The sequence below is a fragment of the Homo sapiens genome, chromosome 10 (genome assembly GCF_000001405.40).
Source record: "Homo sapiens chromosome 10, GRCh38.p14 Primary Assembly".
Classification (NCBI taxonomy): Eukaryota; Metazoa; Chordata; class Mammalia; order Primates; family Hominidae; genus Homo; species Homo sapiens.
The window spans coordinates 130,960,369-130,982,565 of record NC_000010.11 but is presented as its reverse complement, the minus strand read 5'-3'; the positions used below and the strand labels follow the sequence as shown (position 1 = coordinate 130,982,565).

The following is a 22,197-nucleotide window of genomic DNA, read 5'->3' as shown; positions in this document are numbered from 1 at the left end:
CTTGAATGTTTATATGCTTAATAGCTCAGTGAAGTCTTGAAGTATAGAAAAGTCATCATCTAAATATATATATAAATATATATTTATATGTAATATATATACATAATTACATAAATATAATTATATAAGTTACATAACTATACATATATTATGTAAAATATATGTACCATATATATAAATATGTAATATATAATATATATTATATATAAATATGTAATATATAATATATATTATATATAAATATGTAATATATAATATATATTATATATAAATATGTAATATATAATATATTATATATAAATATGTAATATATAATATATATTATATACAAATATGTAATATATAATATATATTATATACAAATATGTAATATATAATATATATTATATATGAATATGTAATATATAATATATATTATATATGAATATGTAATATATAATATATATTATATATGAATATGTAATATATAATATATATTATATATGAATATGTAATATATAATATATATTGTATATGAATATGTAATATATAATATATATTATATATGAATATGTAATATATAATATATATTATATATGAATATGTAATATATAATATATAATATATAAATATGTAATATATAATATATATGTATATAATAAATATGTAATATATTATATATCATACATAATATGTAATATATTATATATCATATATAATATGTAATATATTATATATCATATATAATATGTAATACATTATATATCATATATAATATGTAATACATTATATATCATATATAATATGTAATATATTATATATCATATATAATATGCTACATATTATATATGATATATAATATGTAATATATTATATCATATATAATATGTAATATATTATATATCTCATATAATATGTAATATATTATATATCATATATAATATGTAATATATTATATATCATATATAATATGTAATATATTATATATCATATATAATATGTAATATATTATATATCATATATAATATGTAATATATTATATATCATATATAATATGTAATATATGAGATATATCATATAATATAATATATGAGATATATCATATATAATATGTAATATATGAGATATATCATATATAATATGTAATATATGAGATATATCATATATAATATGTAATATATGAGATATATCATATATAATATGTAATATATGAGATATATCATATATAATATGTAATATATGAGATATATCATATATAATATGTAATGTATGAGATATATCATATATAATATGTAATGTATGAGATATATCATATATAATATGTAATGTATGAGATATATCATATATAATATGTAATGTATGAGATATATCATATATAATATGTAATATATGAGATATATAATATGTAATATATGAGATATATATAATATGTAATATATGAGATATATAATATGTAATATATGAGATATATATAATATGTAATATATGAGATATATAATATGTAATATATGAGATATATATAATATGTAATATATGAGATATATTATATATAATATGTAATTTATAATATATATTATATAATATGTAATTTATAATACATATTATATATAATATGTAATTTATAATATATATTATATATAATATGTAATTTATAATATATATTATATATATTAATTTGTAATATATAATATATATTATATTAATATGTAACATATAATATATATTATATTAATATGTAACGTATAATATATATTATATTAATATGTAACGTATAATATATATTATATTAATATGTAATGTATAATATATGTTACATATTAATATGTAACATATATTATACATTACATATTAATATGTAATATATAAATTTACATATAAATTTATATATAAATGTAAATGTATTTATACATTATATATAATGTATATTTATATTATATATTTAATGTATATATATATTATATATTAAATATATAATATATTATATATTTAATGTATACATTAAATGTATAAATATATAATATATAATATATAAATATATAATATATAAACATATAATATATAATATATAAATATATATAATATATAAATATATAATATATAAATATATATTATATATATTTAAGATATAAATACATATTATTTATATGTAATATACAAATATATATTATTTATATGTAATATATAATATATATTTATATGTAATATATAAATATGTATTATTTATATGTAATATATATAAATATATAAATATCTATCTATATAGATATAGATATAGATATATATCTTTTTTGAGACAGAGTCTTGCTCTGTTGCCAAGGCTGGAGTGCAGTGATGTCATCTTGTGATCTTCACTCACTGTAACCTCTTCTTCCTGGGTTCAAGTGATTCTCCTGCCTCAGCCTCCTAAGTAGCTGGGATTACAGGCATGCACCACCATGCCCAGAAAATCTTTGTATTTTTAGTAGAGATGGAGTCTTATCATGTTGGCCAGGCTGGTCTTGAACTCCTGACCTCAGGTGATCTGACCACCTCAGTCTCCCAAAGTGCTAGGATTACAGGCGTGAGGTTCTCAGTGGGGTTCTTTCCTTCTCTCCAATATCACCTCCACTCACAACTTTACCCCTAACAACTTCACCACCAAGGAAATCTTTGCCATGTCTATGAGGTATTATTGATCACAGTTCATTTCTCCCTCTTCCTAATCACCCTTCTCTCCCCTTTACAGGTTATGATTCCTAATAAAATCTTTCAACCTAATCTCCACTTTAGCTCCCACTTCCAAAGAACCCAGTATGTGACACGATGCCTAATAAATAGCATCTACCAAAAATTACACAAAAATATTATGTTTACAGATAGAAAGTGTTCTTTTGGCTGGACGCAGTGGCTCACGCCTGTAATCCCAGCACTTTGGGAGGCTGAGACGGGTGGATCACGAGGTCAGGAGATTGAGACCACAGTGAAACCCCGTCTCTATTAAAAATACAAAAAAAAATTAGCTGGGCGCAGTGGCGGGCGCCTGTAGTCCCAGCTACTCAGGAGGCTGAGGCAGGAGAATGGCGTGAACCCGGGAGGTGGAGCTTGCAGTGAGTCGAGATCGCGCCACTGCACTCCAGCCTGGGCGACAGAGTGAAACTCCGTCTCAAAAAAGAAAAAAAAAAAGTATTCTTTTTTCAGTGAGCAGTAAGAGTGGTTGTCATCACTGGGTGCTATTTAACATTATGTTAGCGTTTCCAGAGAAAATAGTAAGATAATAAAAATAAATTAAATTATAAATCATGGAAAGGATGAAATAAAACTGTCAACATATCAGACATAAGAGATTCTGTAGAAAAAGTTTTCATGTGAATAGGAGAGTTCAATGAGATTACTAGAAACGAGATAAAACACAAAGATCAAAAGCTCTCTTAGACACAGAAACATCAATTGGAATCATACTGTATTTTTTTAAAGCTAGTGAAAAAACGGCAAAGGATATGTATAGAAAATCAATGTGAAGGGAAATCCAAAGACCCAGGAACGTGATATGATTCTCAAGCTCACTAGCAATCAGAGAAAAATAAAATTAAAACCAAAAGAATTAGACTGACTCAGACTGACAGATTCAAAATTCTGACTCTGACAGATTCAAAATTCAGACTCTGTCAAGTGGTGACTAAACTGTAAAGCACTGATGGTGACTGAGGCTTAAATTTGTGTAGCCAATTGAGCAAAATCTAATAAAATGAAAGATTCAAATATTCTCCAACCTACAATGTTACTCTTAGGTATATATTCACACACACAAAAAATCATATAGAGAGATACTTAGAGCATCATTGTATAGAGGAAAAGGGACAGAATTTCAGTGTTTATGAGCAAGCTGAAAGTGTATTTTCATGTGTTGAAATACCATGCATTATTTAAATAAACGAGCTGCATGTGTCAACCTGAAAAACTTAAAATTTAATGATTGGAGTTTGATTTCCAAAATGTCATGATAATGAGTAAAATGGACTCTTTCTTCCATGAAGCAACAATTTAACTGCTGAAAATTATAAAATAAAATAAAACAATGTCATTAATATATCTAGAGATTGTCCTAAGAGCATATGGTAAATGGAGAAACATCATTTGGTGAAAATCTAGTAAGTCTCGGTGAGAAGAATGAGAGGCAGTGGCATTTAGGTTGTGCTTGCATCTAACTCTTCCCTCTTTCCCCCAGTTAAGCGGGACTGAAGTTCCACTCTAAGTGTCTATAAACAAGAAGGCAGGGAGGAAAGAAGAGACATTACTACTGACCTTACAGCACCAGAAAAGATGATAATAATTTTTTTTTTAAAACTGTGTCAACAAATTAGATAACTTAGATGAAATGGACCCATTTCTGGAAGAATTATCAATTTTTTCACAAACTCTTCCAAGAAATAGAAAATCAAAACCACTTCCCAAGTGATTTTTTTTTTTTTTTTTTTTTGAGATGGAATCTTGCTCTGTCGCCCAGGCTGGAGTGCAGTGGAGCGATCTCGGCTCACTGCAAGCTCCGCCTCCCGGGTTCATGCCATTCTCCTGCCTCAGTCTCCTGAGTAGCTGGGACTACAGGCAACCGCCACCACACCTGGCTAATTTTTTTGTATTTTTAGTAGAGATAGGGTTTCACCATGTTTGTCAGGATGGTCCTGATATCCTGACCTCCTGATCCACCCACCTCGGCCTCCCAAAGTGCTGGGATTACAGGCATGAGCCACCGGGCCTGGCCCCAAGTGATTTTGTAAGGCCAGTATTACCCTGATACCAAAACCAGACAAACATTTGGCAAGAAATGAAAAATGCTGAACAATATGCCTTATGGATAGTGATGCAAAATCATCAATAAAATAATAGAAAACAAAATCCTGCAACACATAAAAAAGATAATACACCATACTAAGCTGAATTTATCCCTGGAATTCAAGGTAGGTTTAGCACCTGAAAATCAATCACTGTAATACTCCATACCAAAAGCATAAAGTATAAAATCCCTATGATCCCTTAAATAATGGATAAAATGAATTTCAGAAAATGTAGCACATATTCATTAAAAAAAATAGAAATAGAAGAGAATTTCCTCAGTATGATAAAGGGAATATACAAAAGAGCCACAGATAATGTCATAATTCATGGGGAAAGACTGAAGCTCCCTAAGGTCAGAAAGAAGACAGAAAAGCCTGCTCTTGCCACTTCTATTCTATTCTATTATATTGGAGTTTCCAGCCAGGGTAATAATGAAGGAAAACAAAATAAAAGTCATCCATATTAAAAGAAAGTAGTAAAATTAGCTCTATTTGCAGACAGTATGATGTATATTAAAAATTCCAAGAAACCCACAAATAAAATATATTAGAACTAAGAAACAAGTTTAGCAGCATTACAGAATATAAGATCAATATACAAAACTATTTGTATTTCTAGTTACTAACAACAGGCAATTAAGAATGAATTTAATAAAACAATTCAATTTATGACAGAATAAAAATAATAAAATATGAAAATAAATTTAGTAAAAAGTATAATGTTTGTACTTTGAATACTATAAAATATTTTTGAAATAAAGATCTAAATAATTGGAAGGACATCTTTTGTTCATGGATCAGAAAACTTAAAATTTGGCAATACTCACCAAATTGATCTGAAAAATAAAACATGATCTCTATCAAAATACAAGCTGGCTCTCTTTGGTAGCAATTATAAAACTTATTTCTATGGAAATGCAGGAGTCCCAGAATAACCTTTATAAGTATTCCACCAAACCATAAGCAACTAAAGAAAAAAATGCCAAATTGGACTTTATCAAAATTAAAAACTTCTGTGTTGAAAATGATACCATCAAGAAAGCAGAATGACAACCCATGGAATGGGAGAAAACTTGTATATCATATCTCTGGTAAGGGATTTATCTCCAAAATACGTAAAGAACTCTTAAAAGCAAATAATTTTAAAATATCGTAATTTTTAACATGGGCACATAATCTGGATAAATATCCTTTCAAACAAGACAAACAAATGGCCAAGAAGCAATTACAAGTTGCTTAGCAACATTAAACATTCTGAAAGTGCAAGTTCAAACCACACTTAATAACCATTAGGGCAGCTATAATCAGAAGGGCAGAGAGTAACCAGTGTTGGTGAAAACATGGAAAAACTGGAGTTCTCACCTATTGCTGGTGGGAATGGAAAAGTTACCACCACTTTCAAGAACATTTTGGCATTTTCTCAATATGTTCAACATAGTTATCATACAAGTCAGCAACCCTAGTAGGAGAGAAATGAAAACATATGTCCACATGAAAACTTGCACACAAATGTTTATGGCAGCATTATTCACGAAAGCCAGAAGGTAGAAACAACCCAAAGCAACCCAAATGATCATGAAGTGATGAGTGGGTCAACAGATACGGTGTAGTTATACAGCAGAATACTATTCAGCAGTGAAAAGGAATAAAGTAAGGAGGAGAAAGAGCCCCTGACTCACACCTCAACTAGGGTGAACCTTAAAAACATGCGACATTAAAGAAGAGAGTCACGGAAGATCACACATTGCATAGTGTCATTTATGTATGTAATGTGTTCAGAATTGAGACAAAACAGATGAATGGTTCCCTAGGGCTAGATGAGGTGGAAGGAATGGGGAGTGATTGCCTATAGGCCTGGGTTTCTTATGGGGGTGATGAAAATATAAAATTAGATTATGGTGATGATTGTGCAACTTTGAATATACTGAAAAAAACCCCACCACATTGTACACTTGAAGCGGGTGAACTGCCTCGTATGTGAATTACATCTCAATAAAGCTGTTTAGAAAATAAGAGGATGATTAAACGACCTGTGGAACAACACACTTAAAGCTTTAATGCAATACGACATGTATTTTGTGAGTACCCACCTTCACAATGAGAGTGTTCAAACATCTTTGGAAAAGAACCACAGGAACTTTCAGATGGGCCCACCCTGAGGTCGGGGAGTGGTTAAGGTGAGAACAAGAGCCAGAAAGGATGGTGGCATTGGCTGGATTTTTTCCTTCCATAAAAAGATTAAACAGGCAGGGTGCAGTGGCTCATGCCTGTAATCCCAGAAGTTTGGGAGGCCGAGGCGGGCAGATCACCCAGAGGTCGGGAGTTCGAGACCAGCCTGACCAACATGGAGAAACCCCGTCTCTACTAAAAATACAAAAATTAACTGGACGTGGTGGTGCATGCTTGTAATCCCAGCTACTCAGGAGGCTGAGGCAGGAGAATCACTTGAACCCAGGAGGTGGAGGTTGCAGTGAGCCGAGGTCGTGCCATTGCACTCCAGCCTAGGTAACAAGAGTGAAACTGCATCTCAAAAAAAAACAAAAAGATTAATCATAAATATTCGTTAACCTGGGTAGTCCTACGTGGCTATGAATCTTAGGTGCTTCTATGTTTGTTTCATCTTCCTATTCAGAGTTGCAGCCTCCGGCTCTTCCACACTCCTGGTCACCCTCCAGCTCTCCTTCTTTTCTCCCACTGCTGTCTTTTGACGTCGGCATTTACCCATTTGACGACTATTCCATCCCAGCCATTGGAAGGTGATTCCCACAAGGACAGTGATATGCTTCTCTTTTGTTCTCTTCCATAAAACTCTACTGCATAGAATGCTGTATTTATTGGCCACCTAAGTTAGGTTAGGTTAGGTGGCCAATAAATACAGGTGGGCATAATAAATAAAATTTGCAAACACAAAAATGCATTAGATAATATTCTATCATATTCCTGTACTGGACAATGTTAAATAGCATGGAAGTTACTGATTCCTGGGATACTGGGCAGAATTCACCAGTGAGAATGCCTGTGCCAAGAGCTTAAGCTGATGTCATTCTTTGATCTTAATCTCTTGAATTGAATGAAGAAATTGTTCAGTAATGTTTGAACCATCAAAGGTTAGATGTGTATTTTATTCTGGATAGAAACTGATTATCCCTTTGACTTCTCGTTAGAGGAAGTTTAGACTGTACTTTTCCCTAAACACACCATGAATGGCTTATTTACCTGATGAAAATGACTGCTGTGTGGTTAAGACACCACATTTGTTTGATCAATTTTATTTTATCTAGAAGTAAATATATAAATGCGATATTGCCACTTTATTTTTGGATAAACATTTTACCAAGATTCTATTTGCACAGGCATTTGATTCCCAGAGCGTTTACAAATATGGGTTGTGTGTGCCGCCAGCTTCCTCTGGTTGGCCAGCTGTAGGCAGCCCATAAGGCGGAATCGCCTCTCCTGAAATTGGAAGTGAACTTGGTACCTTGTGAGCACCACAATGGTGTCCATCTGTTCCTGCTTGTCCAATATGTGAAGCGCATCTCTCCGACACACCAGCAATGTGCCTCATGTCTCGTTTCAGAAAAAGATAAAAGACAGGACACAGATCTTCCAAAAAACACATGCCCAGGGTTCAGGTGGCTGAAGAATGAATGACTTTGGAGACAAAGAATGACTTTGTCATATAACGAAATAATTTTATGGGTAAATTGTGACCGTATTTCACCAGTTTTGTGTCCAACAGAATTTAGGGGGAGAGTTGGCAAGCGGAGATCATGGCTTCATGTCTCTTTCCGAGCAACTGCGTACAGATGGCTCAGTAAATTATTTTTATACGGAACTTTTTATTCCATCCCCCTTCTATCATTTGCACATGTCTCAGCTGCAGACAAGTATCCATAAAACCCACCCCTCTGCCACGAGGCAGCTCAGTCTCCCTCACCCTGCACTCTGAAGTGGTTCAAGAAACCGTGGGCTGAAACCAGGATTTGAGACGCCTTCTCTCAGCTTCTGGCTGGCACAGAGGGCTGGGCAGACTCACTGTGCCAGTGAGGAGGGCTGTCTGGGCCCAGCCCACACCTTCTGTGGAGAGTCCATGGAGAGGCTTTCCCTGCCCCCGTCAGGGTCAGGGGTCAAGGCAAGTTGCCCCTCTTCACCCTGCAAGCACAGCATGGTGGGGGCAGCAGCCCTGGGTTTGTGGAGCTGGGCAGAGGGACCACTTGGCAAATGCATCGAGGCATGGGCCCCACTGCTCCTCGGAAGGACAGCATGGTGACGGCAGCAGCCCTGGGCTGGTGGAGCTGGGCAGAAGGACCGCTTGGCAAATGCATCAAGGCCTGGGCCCCACTGCTCCTCAGAAGGACCCACGACAGGGGCCATTATAGTTCCTTGTTTGAACCAGGTCCTGTTAAGCATGAAAGAGGAGCCACCAAAAATGAGGCTGAGGAAACAGGCGTCCACCAGGGCCATCCTGGGGAACCCAGGCTGGCAGCTCCAGCTGTGCAGCAGGGCCTGGCCGCGCCTCAACCTGCCTTCTGAGGAGTCGGCTTTGACCCTCTGCATGTGCGCAGAGGAGGCCGCCAGGGAACGTGAACATCTACGGTTCCCTGTGACATGACAAAGCCACCCACAGGGCATTACTGCTGAAAGCACCAAGCATTTGCATCAGGGTTTATGACTTTCGGGGTCGGAACCCCTGCAGGCTCGGCTTCAGGCAGGGATCCTCACTGCTGTGCCAACTAAGGGGCCTCGAGGCATTCATGCTGAGACCAGCTTGGTGGAGGAGACCCTAACCCAGTGGTACTAGAGGAATTAAAGACACACACACACAGAAATACAGAGGTGTGAAGTGGGAATCAGGGGTCTCACAGCGTTCAGAGCTGAGAGCTCCAAACAGAGATTTACCCACATATTTATTAACAGCAAGCCAGCCATTAGCAGTTTCTATAGATGTTAAATTAACTAAAAGTATCCCTTATGGGAAACGAAGGGATGGGCTGAATTAAAGGAATAGGTTGGGCTAGTTACCTGCAGCAGGAGCATGTCCTTAAGGCACAGATGGCTCATGCTATTGTTTGTGGCTTAAGGCAGGCAGATCACAAGGTCAGGAGATCGAGACCATCCTGGCTAACCACCCCGTCTCTACTAAAAATACACACACACAAAAAAAATTAGCTGGGCATGGTGGTGGGTGCCTGTAGTCCCAGCTACTCAGGAGGCTGAGGCAGGAGAATGGTGTGAACCTGGGAGGCAGAGCTTGCAGTGAGCTGAGATCGTGCCACCGCACTCCAGCCTGGGCGACAGAGCGAGACTCCGTCTCAAAAAAAAATAAAAAATAAAAAAAATAAAAAATAAAAAAAAAGAATGCCCTGGGCGGACCAGGTGTTCCTTGCCATCATTCCCGTAAACCCACAACCTTCCAGCGTGGGCATTATGGCCATCATGAACATGTCACAGTGCTGCAGAGATTTTGTTTATGGCCAGTTTTGGGGCCAGTTTATGGCCAGATTTTGGGGGGCTTGTTCCCAACACACTCACTCGTGCGTGGCTTCCCCCGCGTGTCAGGCGCCATAGCAGGGGGCCTGTGAAATCACCTCCATGGGGCTTTTGACAGGGTTCCTAGGTTGTGCTGGTCTCAGGGTAGGAGGACTTTTGTGGGCACCTGCACGTGGGGCTTCTAGAAAGAACATTCTGGCCAGGCTTGGTGGTTCACACCTGTAATCCCAGCACTTTGGGAGGCTGAGGAAGGCGGATCACCTGAGGTCGGGAGTACGAGACCAGCCTGACCAATATGGAGAAACCCTGTCTCTACTAAAAATACAAAATTATCCGGGCGTGGTGGCCCATGCCTGTAATCTCAGCTACTTGGGAGGCTGAGACAGGAGAATCGCTTGAACCCGATGGGCGGAGGTTGTGGTGAGCCGAGATAGCACCATTCCACTCCAGTCTGGGCCACAAGAGTGAAATTCTGAGAAAGAGAGAAAGAGAGAGGGAGAGAGGGAGAGAGAGAGAGAGGGAGAGAGGGAGAGGGAGAGAGGGAGGGAGGGAGGGAGGGATGAAGGAAGGGACGAAGGAAGGAAGGAAGGAAGAAAAGAAGGAAGGAAGGAAGGAAGGAAGGAAGGAAGGAAGGAAGGAAGGAAGGAAGGAAGGAAGGACATTCCAGGAGACCACAGGCGGAAGCTTGGCCTCGTGATGCCTGGTCCAGGAAACACAGGACATTGTATCCTCCACGTTCTGTGGGCTGCAGAAGCAACCAATCTTCCAGATCTAAGGCAGTGGGCCAGGAGCCAGCTCCAGACAAGGGGATCGAAGTGTGCGGGGTCACCCTTACTCCAGGGCATGACCCTACTGATGAGGCTCAGGCCTCCTCTATGTGCACTGTGGGACCCTCCATGGGATGTGGGCTCCTCCTGCCGATGGTCCTGGCCCCCCGTTTCGGCCTGGCCTCACTCCTTTCAGAACAGAAGTCTCCACATCTATGGCTGGTCCAGGCGTGGCCATGTGTGTGTCCTGAGGGAGGCTCTTGTTCAGTAGCTCTACACACCCATCTCCTGGGTCTACGGCTGGTCCAAGCGTGGATGTATGTGTGTCCCAGGGGGAGGCACATGCTCAGTGGCTCTGCATGCCTAGCTCCTGGGTCTCCGCTGGGCAGGGGCGCTGGAGTCCCCTCACCACCAACAGACGCCATTGGTCTAGAGCACTGTCCCTCTCCTCATGGGCAGAGCTGGTGGTGAAGCTCAGGTCCTGGGCTTGGCTACAGAAGGGCAGAAGACCATAGATCTAAGGGACACCCTGGGGCCTCAGCTCTTTCAGAGATCTGGCGTGCAGATAAGGCTCACAGCCCACAGGTTCCTGTGTAGGGGTTCCAGCCCTGGTCAGGCTTCTTGAAGGCAGAGAGGGGGGGCACCCGAGGCCCCTCCAGTCCCCCAGGGCTCCCCGACCCCTGTGCGCAAAGGGGCTGGCCCTTCTGAGACCCCATGTTTTCAGGGATGCCTATGTGTGTGTGTGAGAGAGGGTGAGACAGCAATAAACCCTCAGCTGGACCAGAGCAGGCTACGCCGAAGCCAGCAGTGTCTGCCTTGGAATGAAAAGCACCCACATCTAGTCTTTACATCCTCACTTCTTCCCCAGCCACTGTACTCAGGGGTGTGTTCCCTGTCCCTGTCCCAGCTTGCCCCTCCGGCATGGGCCACCCTCCACCAATGCCTCAGCCACAGTGGATGGCAGAGGTGGGGACCAAATGGGACCCTACATTCACATGCTCCCTAATGTGCTCCTGCACCAGCCCTGCATGGGAGCCCGGGACTGTGCTGCTGAGAGGAGCAGGCTCAGAGCTGGAGCAGTGCATCCCCACCACTCACTTGCTGGGAGCATGGCTTCCTGGCACTCCTCTTCTGGGCATTGCCGAACTCTACTCTTCTGCAGCTTATAGAGTTCACAGAAGCTTCAATTTGAAAAGAAGTCCCTCTGTTGAAGGTGCTTCCACATTCTTCTGTGATTTGGACGGGATCTCCAGGCAGTGGCTTCCATCAGTGACTCCCTTTACTGGTGAGAGAAGCAAAGCTCACGAATAGCATCTGGGGGTCACGAAAGTAATGTCCAGGGATAACATTCAAAGCAGACGGCATGAGCCAGGCTGCTGCAGGCTGGAAACAGCTCCACGGTCATCAGGCCGAAAAATATTTGATACCCCTAAGTAGAACTGTGGACATTCCAGTTTCAAGTCAGGTGTACGGCGGACTAGTTTACACACAGTAGGAATCCCCCTTTGGAAGGGTAGGTTCTGTGAGTTTGGACAAATGCACATGGTCGTGCAGCCACCCCCAAATACCATGAGGAGCACTTTCCTTCCCCGCAGCACCGGACCCTCTGCCGCCAGGCCCCGCCCCCGCCGCAGCCCGCCGTGCTGATGGACTTTCGTCCCGTGGCCCTGTCTTATCCAGAATGTCTTACTGAGGGCACCACACACACGTTTTTGAGATTTAATCGTATTATGTCATGTAGTTTGTTACTTCTTATTGCAGAATAGTGTTCCATTGTGAGGTCTTATTGCAACTTGTTCACCCACTTACCAGTTGATATGTGGATTGTTTCCAGGTTTTGACTATTGTAAACGAAACTGCTGTAAGCCTTTACAAACAGATCTTGTGTGAGTATTTCCTTTTATTTCTCCTGTACAAATATGTAGGAGTGGGGTTGATGGATTGTACGAGGTATAGTTTATAATACAACTCACCTATTGTATGAGTACAATTCAACTATATTTTATCTAAATTTTTAGAGTTGTGCAACCATTGCAACAATCTGGATTTAGAACATTTTCACCCCAAAAAACTCCCTGACACCCATTTTCCGCTTAATCTCTGTTCAACCTCCAGCCTTTAGCTGGGCACTGGTCTGCTGTCTGTGCTTCTAAACGTACTGTTCCTGAATATTTCTCATAAACAAAATCATACAGTGCATGTAGCTTCTTTTGCACCCAGCTTCTTTCGTTCAGCATGCTTTTGAGGTTCTTCCACTCTGTAGCGTGTCTCAGCAGTGTCTTCCTTTTTCTCACCAAGTAGCATTCCAGGGCATGGATGCAGCTCATTTGTGTTATAAATTACCCAACTGATGGACATTTGGATTGCTGCCTGCTCTGGGCTCTTATGAAAAATGCTGTTATGAACACTCATGCACATGTCTTTACATGAACATATGTCTTCATTTTTCTTGGGTAGATTCCAGGGAGTAGAATGACAGAATTGTATAATAAGCCTGTGTTTAACTTGTTTGATTTCTTTTATTTAAGAACTCTGCATGGGCCAGCAATAATCTACTGGGTTAGGTGGCAGGAGTAAGTGTCCTAATTCTCTGATGATGTGTCCCTGGGAAAAGGGTGTATTTAGTGTCTCTGAAGAGCAACCCTGGCCTTCCCATGAAGCCAGAGTCCTTGCTGTCCTCCTTAGAAGATACCTGTTTCAGCCCCAGAGATCCCTGAGAAGGGCTTGGGAAGGAGGGGTTCTGTGTCTAGAGAATATTCGCAGACATTTCCAGGCAAGCTCACACCAGTCCCTGGCCCCAGCAGGCTTTTTAACAAGTGGGCCTTCCAGGGGCCAGCAACAGCCACTGGTGTGAAGGACATGACTGGGTTTGTCAAGGAGCTCAGTCAAAACTCCGTGTTCCCTTTACACTTCTGGACCCCAGATCCACCATGGGAGTCACAGAGAACCAAAAAGCGTGGAAAGCCTCCTGCTCAAACACTTTTCCACACCACCAGTGAGGGCAGATAAAGAAGCTCCATTTGAGAGGGAGAAATGTCCATTGAAATGGATGGCTTTGGAGTGCCTTGAGTGTTATTGCTATAAACAAATACCCACATCTCTGATATGAGTGGCACTTAAGTATCTGATCCTTCAATTCAGAATGAGCAAGGAACACCGTAAGATGGAAGGGTCAGTGTGAGGATTGATTGTGAGGTATTTGAAGAACCATGAGAGTGGTATTCACATCTTAGTCCATTTTGCATTGCTATAAAGGAATACCTGAGACTGGGTCATTTATAAGGGAAAGAAATTTATTTGGCTCACAATTCTGTAGACAGTACAGGAAGCATGGTGCTAGCATCTGCTTCTGGTCAGGACTTCAGGAACAGGCAGAAGAGGAAGAGAAACAGCATGTCACATGGTGAGAGAGAAGAGAGGAGAGAGAGAGAGAGAGAGAAGGTGTCAGGCTCTCTTTAATAATCAGCTCTCTTGTGAACTAACAGAGCAATAACTCACTCAAGGACAGCAACAAGACATCCATGAGGTATCCACCCCCATGACCAAAATACCTCCCCACCAGGCCCCTCTCCAACACTGGGGATCAAATTTCAGCAGGAGGTTTGGAGAGGACAAATATACGAACTGTAGCAGAGCCTTTAGACACTCCTCTCTGGACATGTAGACTTGATGTTTCGCCCCCGAAATCTGGGGGCTGTTTGTTACTGCAATATAACACATCCTGCTATGACTGATACTGATACTATTTACAATAGCACTTAGAAAAAGACACAGAATTAACCAAAGAAGTGAGTCATCCTTTATGAGAAAATTATTATTCTTTTCTGAAAGACATTAGAGGAGACATAAATAAGGGAGAAGAGATGCCAAGTTCATGGATAATAAAAACAAATGTTGAAAAATCTGAAAACTCTCTGAAATTGGTCTAATTTTTCAATACAATTCTAATCAAAAGCTCAACAGGGTTTTTCTTGGAAGTTTACAAACTGAATGTAAAATTTACATGAAAATGCCAAGGGCTAGGAATAGATAAGAAACTCCCAGAGAAGAGTCAAGCACAGAGAGTGTCCAGCCACATGGTAAGACATTTATATTCTAAGGTTATAGTAATTGGACAATGAGGGAAGGTGCAAGGAAGGGCACCAGGCCAACAGGAGGAGAGAGCCCAGAACCAGACCCACACAACCAGGATGGCATCCCGCAGCACCAGACGGTCCCACGGTGGGTGGGGAAGATGAACTTTTTTATTCAGTCGTCCTACGGCAACTGGTCCCACCTAGTAGAACAACATTGAAATGGGCTCTCAGTCATTCTAGAGAATGTAGTTACTATGAGACTAGCTCTATATACACTCAGTGTTATAATTTTAAATTGTGAAATTATCAATACTATTTTCTTTACGAAAACATACATAGAAAAGCTACAAATGGAAAAATAAACACAAAATCCAGGAAGGCAGGAGGGCAGGAAGACGGAAAGATGTGCTCGAGGAGGGAGACCCAGGGGCTGCATCGGAACTTCTATTGCATAAGCAAGGTGAGGGGCACATTGCTATGAATTATAATGTTCTTTCTGCCTTAGACAGTTTAGGTGTATTTTCTTAAATGTATGAAATACTTCAAGATGAAACTTTCAAACCCATCCCCATCATCTCTTTACTTTAGGTGCTGATCTGGTTCCACTGCCATTTCCTTCTGGTAGAAAAAGGAGAAAAGTGAGAAAGCAAAAAGCTTGGAGGAAATGCGTGGTGGCTGGAAGGTTTCTGTATCTTCAATTCTCTGGAGAACTTTTTACATAAATGTTAAAGAATGAGGTATTTAGAATGATCACGTATATGTCCACAGTCTTATTTGGGAAATTATCTAATTAATTCAAAAATTCATTTTGAATATAATTTAAATACAACTAAGCTAGCCTCCTGTCATTAGCAGAGCACCTGTCTGGGGCATTGCAGACTTGGGCTCCTAGCATCTCTGCTTTTCTATAAATTGAACTTTTCCATCTTGGAAATATGTACGCAGGCAGGCAGCATGCTCGAGTTTCACTGATGATCTGTGCTGGAGATGGGGCTGGGCGGGGCCGTAAACTTCTGTTTGGTACCTTGAAGGTCTAGTCCATCATTTAATGACTGCGGTTTGGTGATACTAGATATCAAGATAGAAATGAACTAATTTAGTAATGTACAAAAGAGATATTCCAGAGAAGCCCAAAACTGGCATGCCACTCATGGTCCAGAGGATGCCCTTGCAATAGACAGAGATGGACCTCAGAGCCCTTTTGTGGTCCAAAGCAGCAACAATAAAGGTGAAATAACTGAGCAACCTGGCAAGTGCGGTTTGAAGGCAGATGAGAGGCAGGTGCATTAACACAGATAATCTGAGTCTGTTTTTCAGATATCCATTGGTTTTAACCTTGAGGATGAGGACAAGATATTAGTTGAGAGATGTAATCATATGTAGAAGATATTTCTCTCTCTCTTTTTTTTTAAAACAAGGTCTTGCTCTGTTGCCCAGGCTGAAGTTCAGTGGTGTGATCTTGGGTCACTACAGCCTCGACCTCCTAGGTTCAAGCGATCCTCCCACCTCAGCCTCCCGAGTTGCTCAGATTACAGGCATGAACCACTGCACCTGGCTAATTTTTTGTATTTTTATTAGAGACAGGGTCTCACCATGTTGGCCAGGCTGGTCTCGAACTCCTAGGATTACAGGCATGAGCCACCACTATGTAGAAGATACTTCAATCAAATAAGAGTAGATACCACCCTCACAGTTTGCAGGAGATTTAATTAAACATTACCACTTGATTCTATTAGTAACTCCAGATCTGCAAGGCAAATATTTCCAACTCACATTTTCCAGTGAATTCACTGAGCCAGGACTTGACCAGGACCTGTGTCTCTGGTCTCCTTGGTCAGTGTTTTCCTGCTGATGTCTCAGCTGTCTGCCATGAGAATGTCAGTCCCTTTCCAGGATGACACATCTCTGTGCAGTTGTACTAAGAGTTGAAAAGGATGAACTGGGGCTAGTTGCAGTGGCTCACGCCTATAATCTCAGCATTTTGGGAGAACAAGGCAGGTGAATCACCTGAGGTCAGCAGTTTGAGACCAGCCTGGCCAACATGATGAAACCCCTCTCTACTAAAAACACAAAAATTTGTTGGGCATGGTGGCAGGCGCCTGTAATTCCAGCTACTTGGGAGGCGAGGCAGGAGAATTGCTTGAACCTGGGAGGTGGAGGTTGCAGTGAGCCAAGATCGTGCCATTGCACTCCAGCCTGGGCAACAAGAGTGAAACTCCATCTCAAAAAAAGAAAAAAGAAAAGGAGGAATTGGATCAAGTAAATGAGTCATGGTACACGAAGAAAAGACCCAGACCCCAGGAGTTTGGTTTACAGGATGGGGACCTGGAGGCCAGCCTGCTGGGCGCCCTTCAAAGGGGCAGGTAGCTGGGTGCAGGGAAGGTCAGTGGGTTCGTGAGTCTCCTGGAAATGTTCCCTAGATGGATGGTAAGCTGCAGAACCATTTTCCCAGGAGTCCTCTAGATCCCGGGGTTAAGGTGCGGTGGGAAAGGTGCTCTTCAGCGGAAGCCCCCAGTACCCGGGCTCCACCTTCTCTTGTTTCTCTTCTTTCTTCTCCCTGGGACACTCGGGAGATGCAACGTGTTTCTGCTGGTTGGGAAAAGAGGTGAATTGGTTTTCTCCCAACTCCAACATAGAAAGTGTTGTTTTGACACTGTAGAAAATAGATAATTTCCGCTGATTTATTTCTGTCTCCTTCTGGGCCTGGCCGGCATGGGGGAAGCAGAGATGTACCTATTCAAATGACAAACATATCACCAAGATGGTGTGGTGCCCTGGCATTTCAGCATCCCAGAGCATCAGGCTGTGTTTCTGAAATAAATTCTGCCTTGACATGGTGCTAACTCTTTGTATTTATGGAGCACTTTTATTCCCAAAGTGTCTGTGAATATATCGTCTCCTTTCCTCCTCATGGGCTAATGCTTACAGACGTCTCCCCGGAGCATGGAGCCGCCAGGAAGGACAGATGGATGGTGGTCACGCTGAGGTGCGGCCCTCTGCCCCCTGCACTTTCCTACTCCTGGTTGTGAATCAGCAGGAGGAAACGCGGAAGGGCCTTCCTGGCGAGGCCAGCTGGGCTGTTCCCCGCAAGGCTTCCTTCTTCCTCACCGTGCATGCTCTCGCTGACTTAGTGGCTCTTTCTCCTGCAATCTCCAGCCCTCCCCTTGCCCAGTCTCACTCTGCAGGCTCCTACCTCTGCACTGGGCTGACGGGTAGTCCCCTTCATGTGACAAACATACTCCTTACCTAGGACCAGTACACCCAGCCTTTTCTGGTCCCCTAACAACTTCCAAGTCCCCCACTACCAATAGCCACATCCGAACTCACTTTTGGCTAGAGATCTGCATGGCCCATGGCCCAGTGAGGCTCCCTATTTTATAGCATTAGAGGGAAAGTGGCACCAGCCCTCTCCCCAGAGGAGTATCTCTCCTGGAGATGGGGGTCATCTCCCCGTTCTCCCTCCCTCCCTGGCTTCTCTGCATCACTGGGATCAGCCAGGGGACGGCTCCTCTTCAGTGGCCTGAGCTCCTGCCCATTCTGCCTCCTAGCCAGGCCTTCCTCTCCATGGCTGGCTCAGCCCTCGCAGGGCCTTCCCCCTCTTCTCTTGAGTCACTCAACTGCACCCTGGGTTGCCCCCCTTCAGTTCTACATTAAGGCTTCCTCTCTGGTTCCATCCATTGCCTTTGGTAACCTGGATTTCTGGTTGACTGGGAGACAATTCATCTTCTCTCTCTCTCTCTTTTTTTTTTTTTTTTTTTTTTTTTTTGAGACAGAGACAGAGTCTCGCTTTGTCCCCCAGGCTGGAGTCCAGTGGCGCCATCTTGGCTCACTGCAAGCTCCGCCTCCCGGGTTCACGCCATTCTCTTGCCTCAGCCTCCCGAGTAGCTGGGACTACAGGCACCTGCCACTACGCCCGGCTAATTTTTATTTTTATTTTACATTTTTTTTATGTTTATTTTTAGCAGAGACAGGTTTCACCGTGTTAGCCAGGATGGTCTCCATCTCCTGACCTCATGATCCGCCCGCCTCAGCCTCCCAAAGTGCTGAGTGAGCCACCGCGCCCTGCCGACAATTCATCTTCTAACCTAAACGTGTCCAAACTTAAAATAAATAACGCCCTTCATAGCTTCCTAGCTCTGCCTGGCCCAGCTGCCCGTCTGCCCAGAGCTGGAGGTGGGGATGTGGAGCCTTCTAGTCTTCTCTTCGCCCATGGATGGACCCTGCTGGGCCCTGCTGGGGACCCAAGGATCTTCTTTGCCAGCTGCTTCCTGGTGAAGGATGCTGCTAACAGCTCGCACCTGCAGCCTCCACCGAGGCTGCCCTGGGAGGCTGGAGCTGCCTTGCCTGAAGGCTTGTGGATGACAGGACACCCCAGCCCAACCAGGGTGGCCCAGAGCATTCAGGTAGGGCAGACGCCACAGCAATGTGGATGATCCAGGGTCCCCGCGGGGCAGATTGAGGCTGCCCTTGACCCTAAGCTGCATTCTTCAGCTTCCTCTCTTATTTTCACTGCTTCTCTCCCTCCGTCAAGGGTTTCTCCTGAGACACTGCCTTATGCGCTTGAACCAGAGCCCTTGTTTCCAGCTCTGCTTCTAGGGAAACCAGTCCCTCACATGAGGTCACCACGTGAGGTGGTCACTTCCCTCTGGGCTGCCCTGGGAGCTCCCGTCTCAGTGTACACGGCCACCCCTGAGCCTTACTGCTCCTCAGTGCAGGAGCCTCCCCTCCTGCTGTAGCTCCCAGGGCCACCCACGGAATCCTCCACCCTCCACTCGGAGGCCATCACTGGACTTGGAGTCAGAAGAGTGGAGTCGGGTCAGACTTCAACTCTGACTTTGAAGGTGGTGAGTGCCTCAAACTCAAACGTTCATGCATGGTGAGGATAAAAAGTAACTGCCCTGGGAGGATGAAACCAGGGAAGACAGCAAGTATGGAAAAGTGAGCACCGCAGATGCCACCATGCCACCAAGCACGAGTGATTTCATCTCTTGGTGGCCTCTCCTCCAAGACCAGCGGGGGTTCCCATTGCCGAGATCAGAGCCTCGGGCAAGGGTGAATGTTGGCTCCACTCACCCCGTGGGTACTCCCACTACTCAGCTTCCTGGCCCTCGAGGATGCCCAGGCCCATGGGTGCAGCATCAGCCAATGCTGTTTGCAACCAAGAGGTTCCAGTTCCCCCAGCTGCATTGAGAGGGGAGGAGCAGGTGTGCCCAGGAGAGGAGGACCCTGGTCTCAGGGAAGAGGGAGTGGTACTGGGGTCTCAGGAAGGGCTTGGAGGGACAGGACTGACACTCTGTCCGCAGAGATGTCAATGAGCACACAAAGGAGGCGAGATGAGGGAGCACAGAAGACAACCTCCAAGACGAGAGATGGGAGCTGAGGAAGCTGTGAACCTGCGAGGCACACAGAGATGGGGTAGAAGCTGCTCATGCTCATAGGAGGAGGGCAGATAGGAGGGGCCAAGGAGGGGCTCAGTGTCTGCCTCTGAATCTCAACCCCCCTTTCAAGGAAGGTGGTTATGCCCACATCCACTCATGCAAGGTGCCATGACAAAGTGCCTCTGTCTCCAGTGGGAGCAATCCTGGTATTCCAGCTCCACAGCCAGAGCACTGTGCAGAAAGACCCCCACCCCACCCCAGACTTTCTCTTCCCCGAGCTATCTGCACATGCACTGGTCTCTTCCTTGGGGGACTGCCTAAGGTATTTATCATCTAAGCTGCACCTGCATTTATCACATCCACTCACACTGGTTGTGACCCTCAAGACAGATTCTAAGTGTCTGGGTGTCTCCTGATAGGGTCTTTTGCATTGTCACCCACCTCCCAGATGTACCTCAAGATACACATGTTTAGTTAATTCTCACCATTGTGCTGATGGGCAAGCTGTGGCTCTCTCTACCTGAAATGAGAAACATGGGTTAGAAAGTGAATCAGTCTCACTGGGGTTTTCCAGAATTCCTGCCATTGCATCATGATGAAACGTGATGGGATTGTCATGTCTCACCTGGATTTTGAGAAATGATCATTGTCCAAATAAAGGAGCCAGCTAGAAAAGTGGACTGAGGTCACGACCAGGACAGGGACACTCTCAGACCTCTATTCTTGTATGTTCATGCCAACTCACATGGCTTCAGGGGAGAAACAGGGTGAAAACAGAGGCCTGCCCCTGGCACCCACCACTGACCAGCTCTGTAAAGACAACCAGGGTGGACAGATGCTGACTTGACTTGTGTCACATCTGCTGAAAGACAGAGATGAGCTATAAGGCCATGGCAAAGTCAAGTGCCATTACCAGCTAGCTGGGTCTGCTGGAAAGTTTGAGGTGCTCCCCAGCTTTAGAAATATAAAAATCAGATGATTAGCTTTGCCATGCATTCCCCCACTGATACCCCTGCTTCAGGATGTGGGAGGATCAGGTTTTGGGGGGACAGACTGTGTTCTGTGTGAACCCCTCAGAGAGAGGGGGCCCAGCTAAGGCCTCAATCGGAAGAAGAGGAAGTGGCTACACAGTGACATTGGGCCTCAGCAGAAGCTCAGAATCTGACTGAACTCCCGCCAAGGCCAAACGTGAGCATCACAAAGTGAGTCAAGGTAAGTGCATCATGCCACATGCCTTCCAGAAGATGGCATTGCCACCATCTGCCCCCAATACCCAGCCTTAGCCTCTGGGACAGAACCCGAGGACACAGTGCAAGAACAGGTCTTGGAGGCACAATTCTCGGCCACAGGCAAATTGGCTTTGAGGCTTTGGTCCACAGGCCACCACGTCTACTCCTGTTCCCACACAATCATCCCACGGGCACAGCATACCCTCTGCTCACCCCTCCTCCATGGGACCACTTTCAGGCAAATGTGTGCATATTCACAGGTACAGGTGACCGGGGTCCACCCATTTCTGTCGCTGAGGACACCCATCTGAGACCCGCACACAGTTGGTGCAGCCCCCCTTTTTAAGCAAATGAAAGGCTCTGAATGTGCAGATACATCCAGATTCCCTCTCCATAGCAGCATTCATTCCCCCACCTCAACAATCACAACCCGAAATATAGCAGAATGTCCACAACAAACTGAATTG

General features: G+C 42.8%; 1 non-coding gene across 1 annotated transcript; it reads left to right on the top strand.

The window, feature by feature from the left end:
* Window positions 1-19,897: 19,897 nt before the first annotated feature.
* MIR378C (microRNA 378c) lies at window positions 19,898-19,978 on the top strand. The gene has a single exon (NR_036180.1). It is a non-coding gene; the product is annotated as a microRNA 378c (primary transcript).
* The last annotated feature ends 2,219 nt before the right edge of the window (window positions 19,979-22,197 follow it).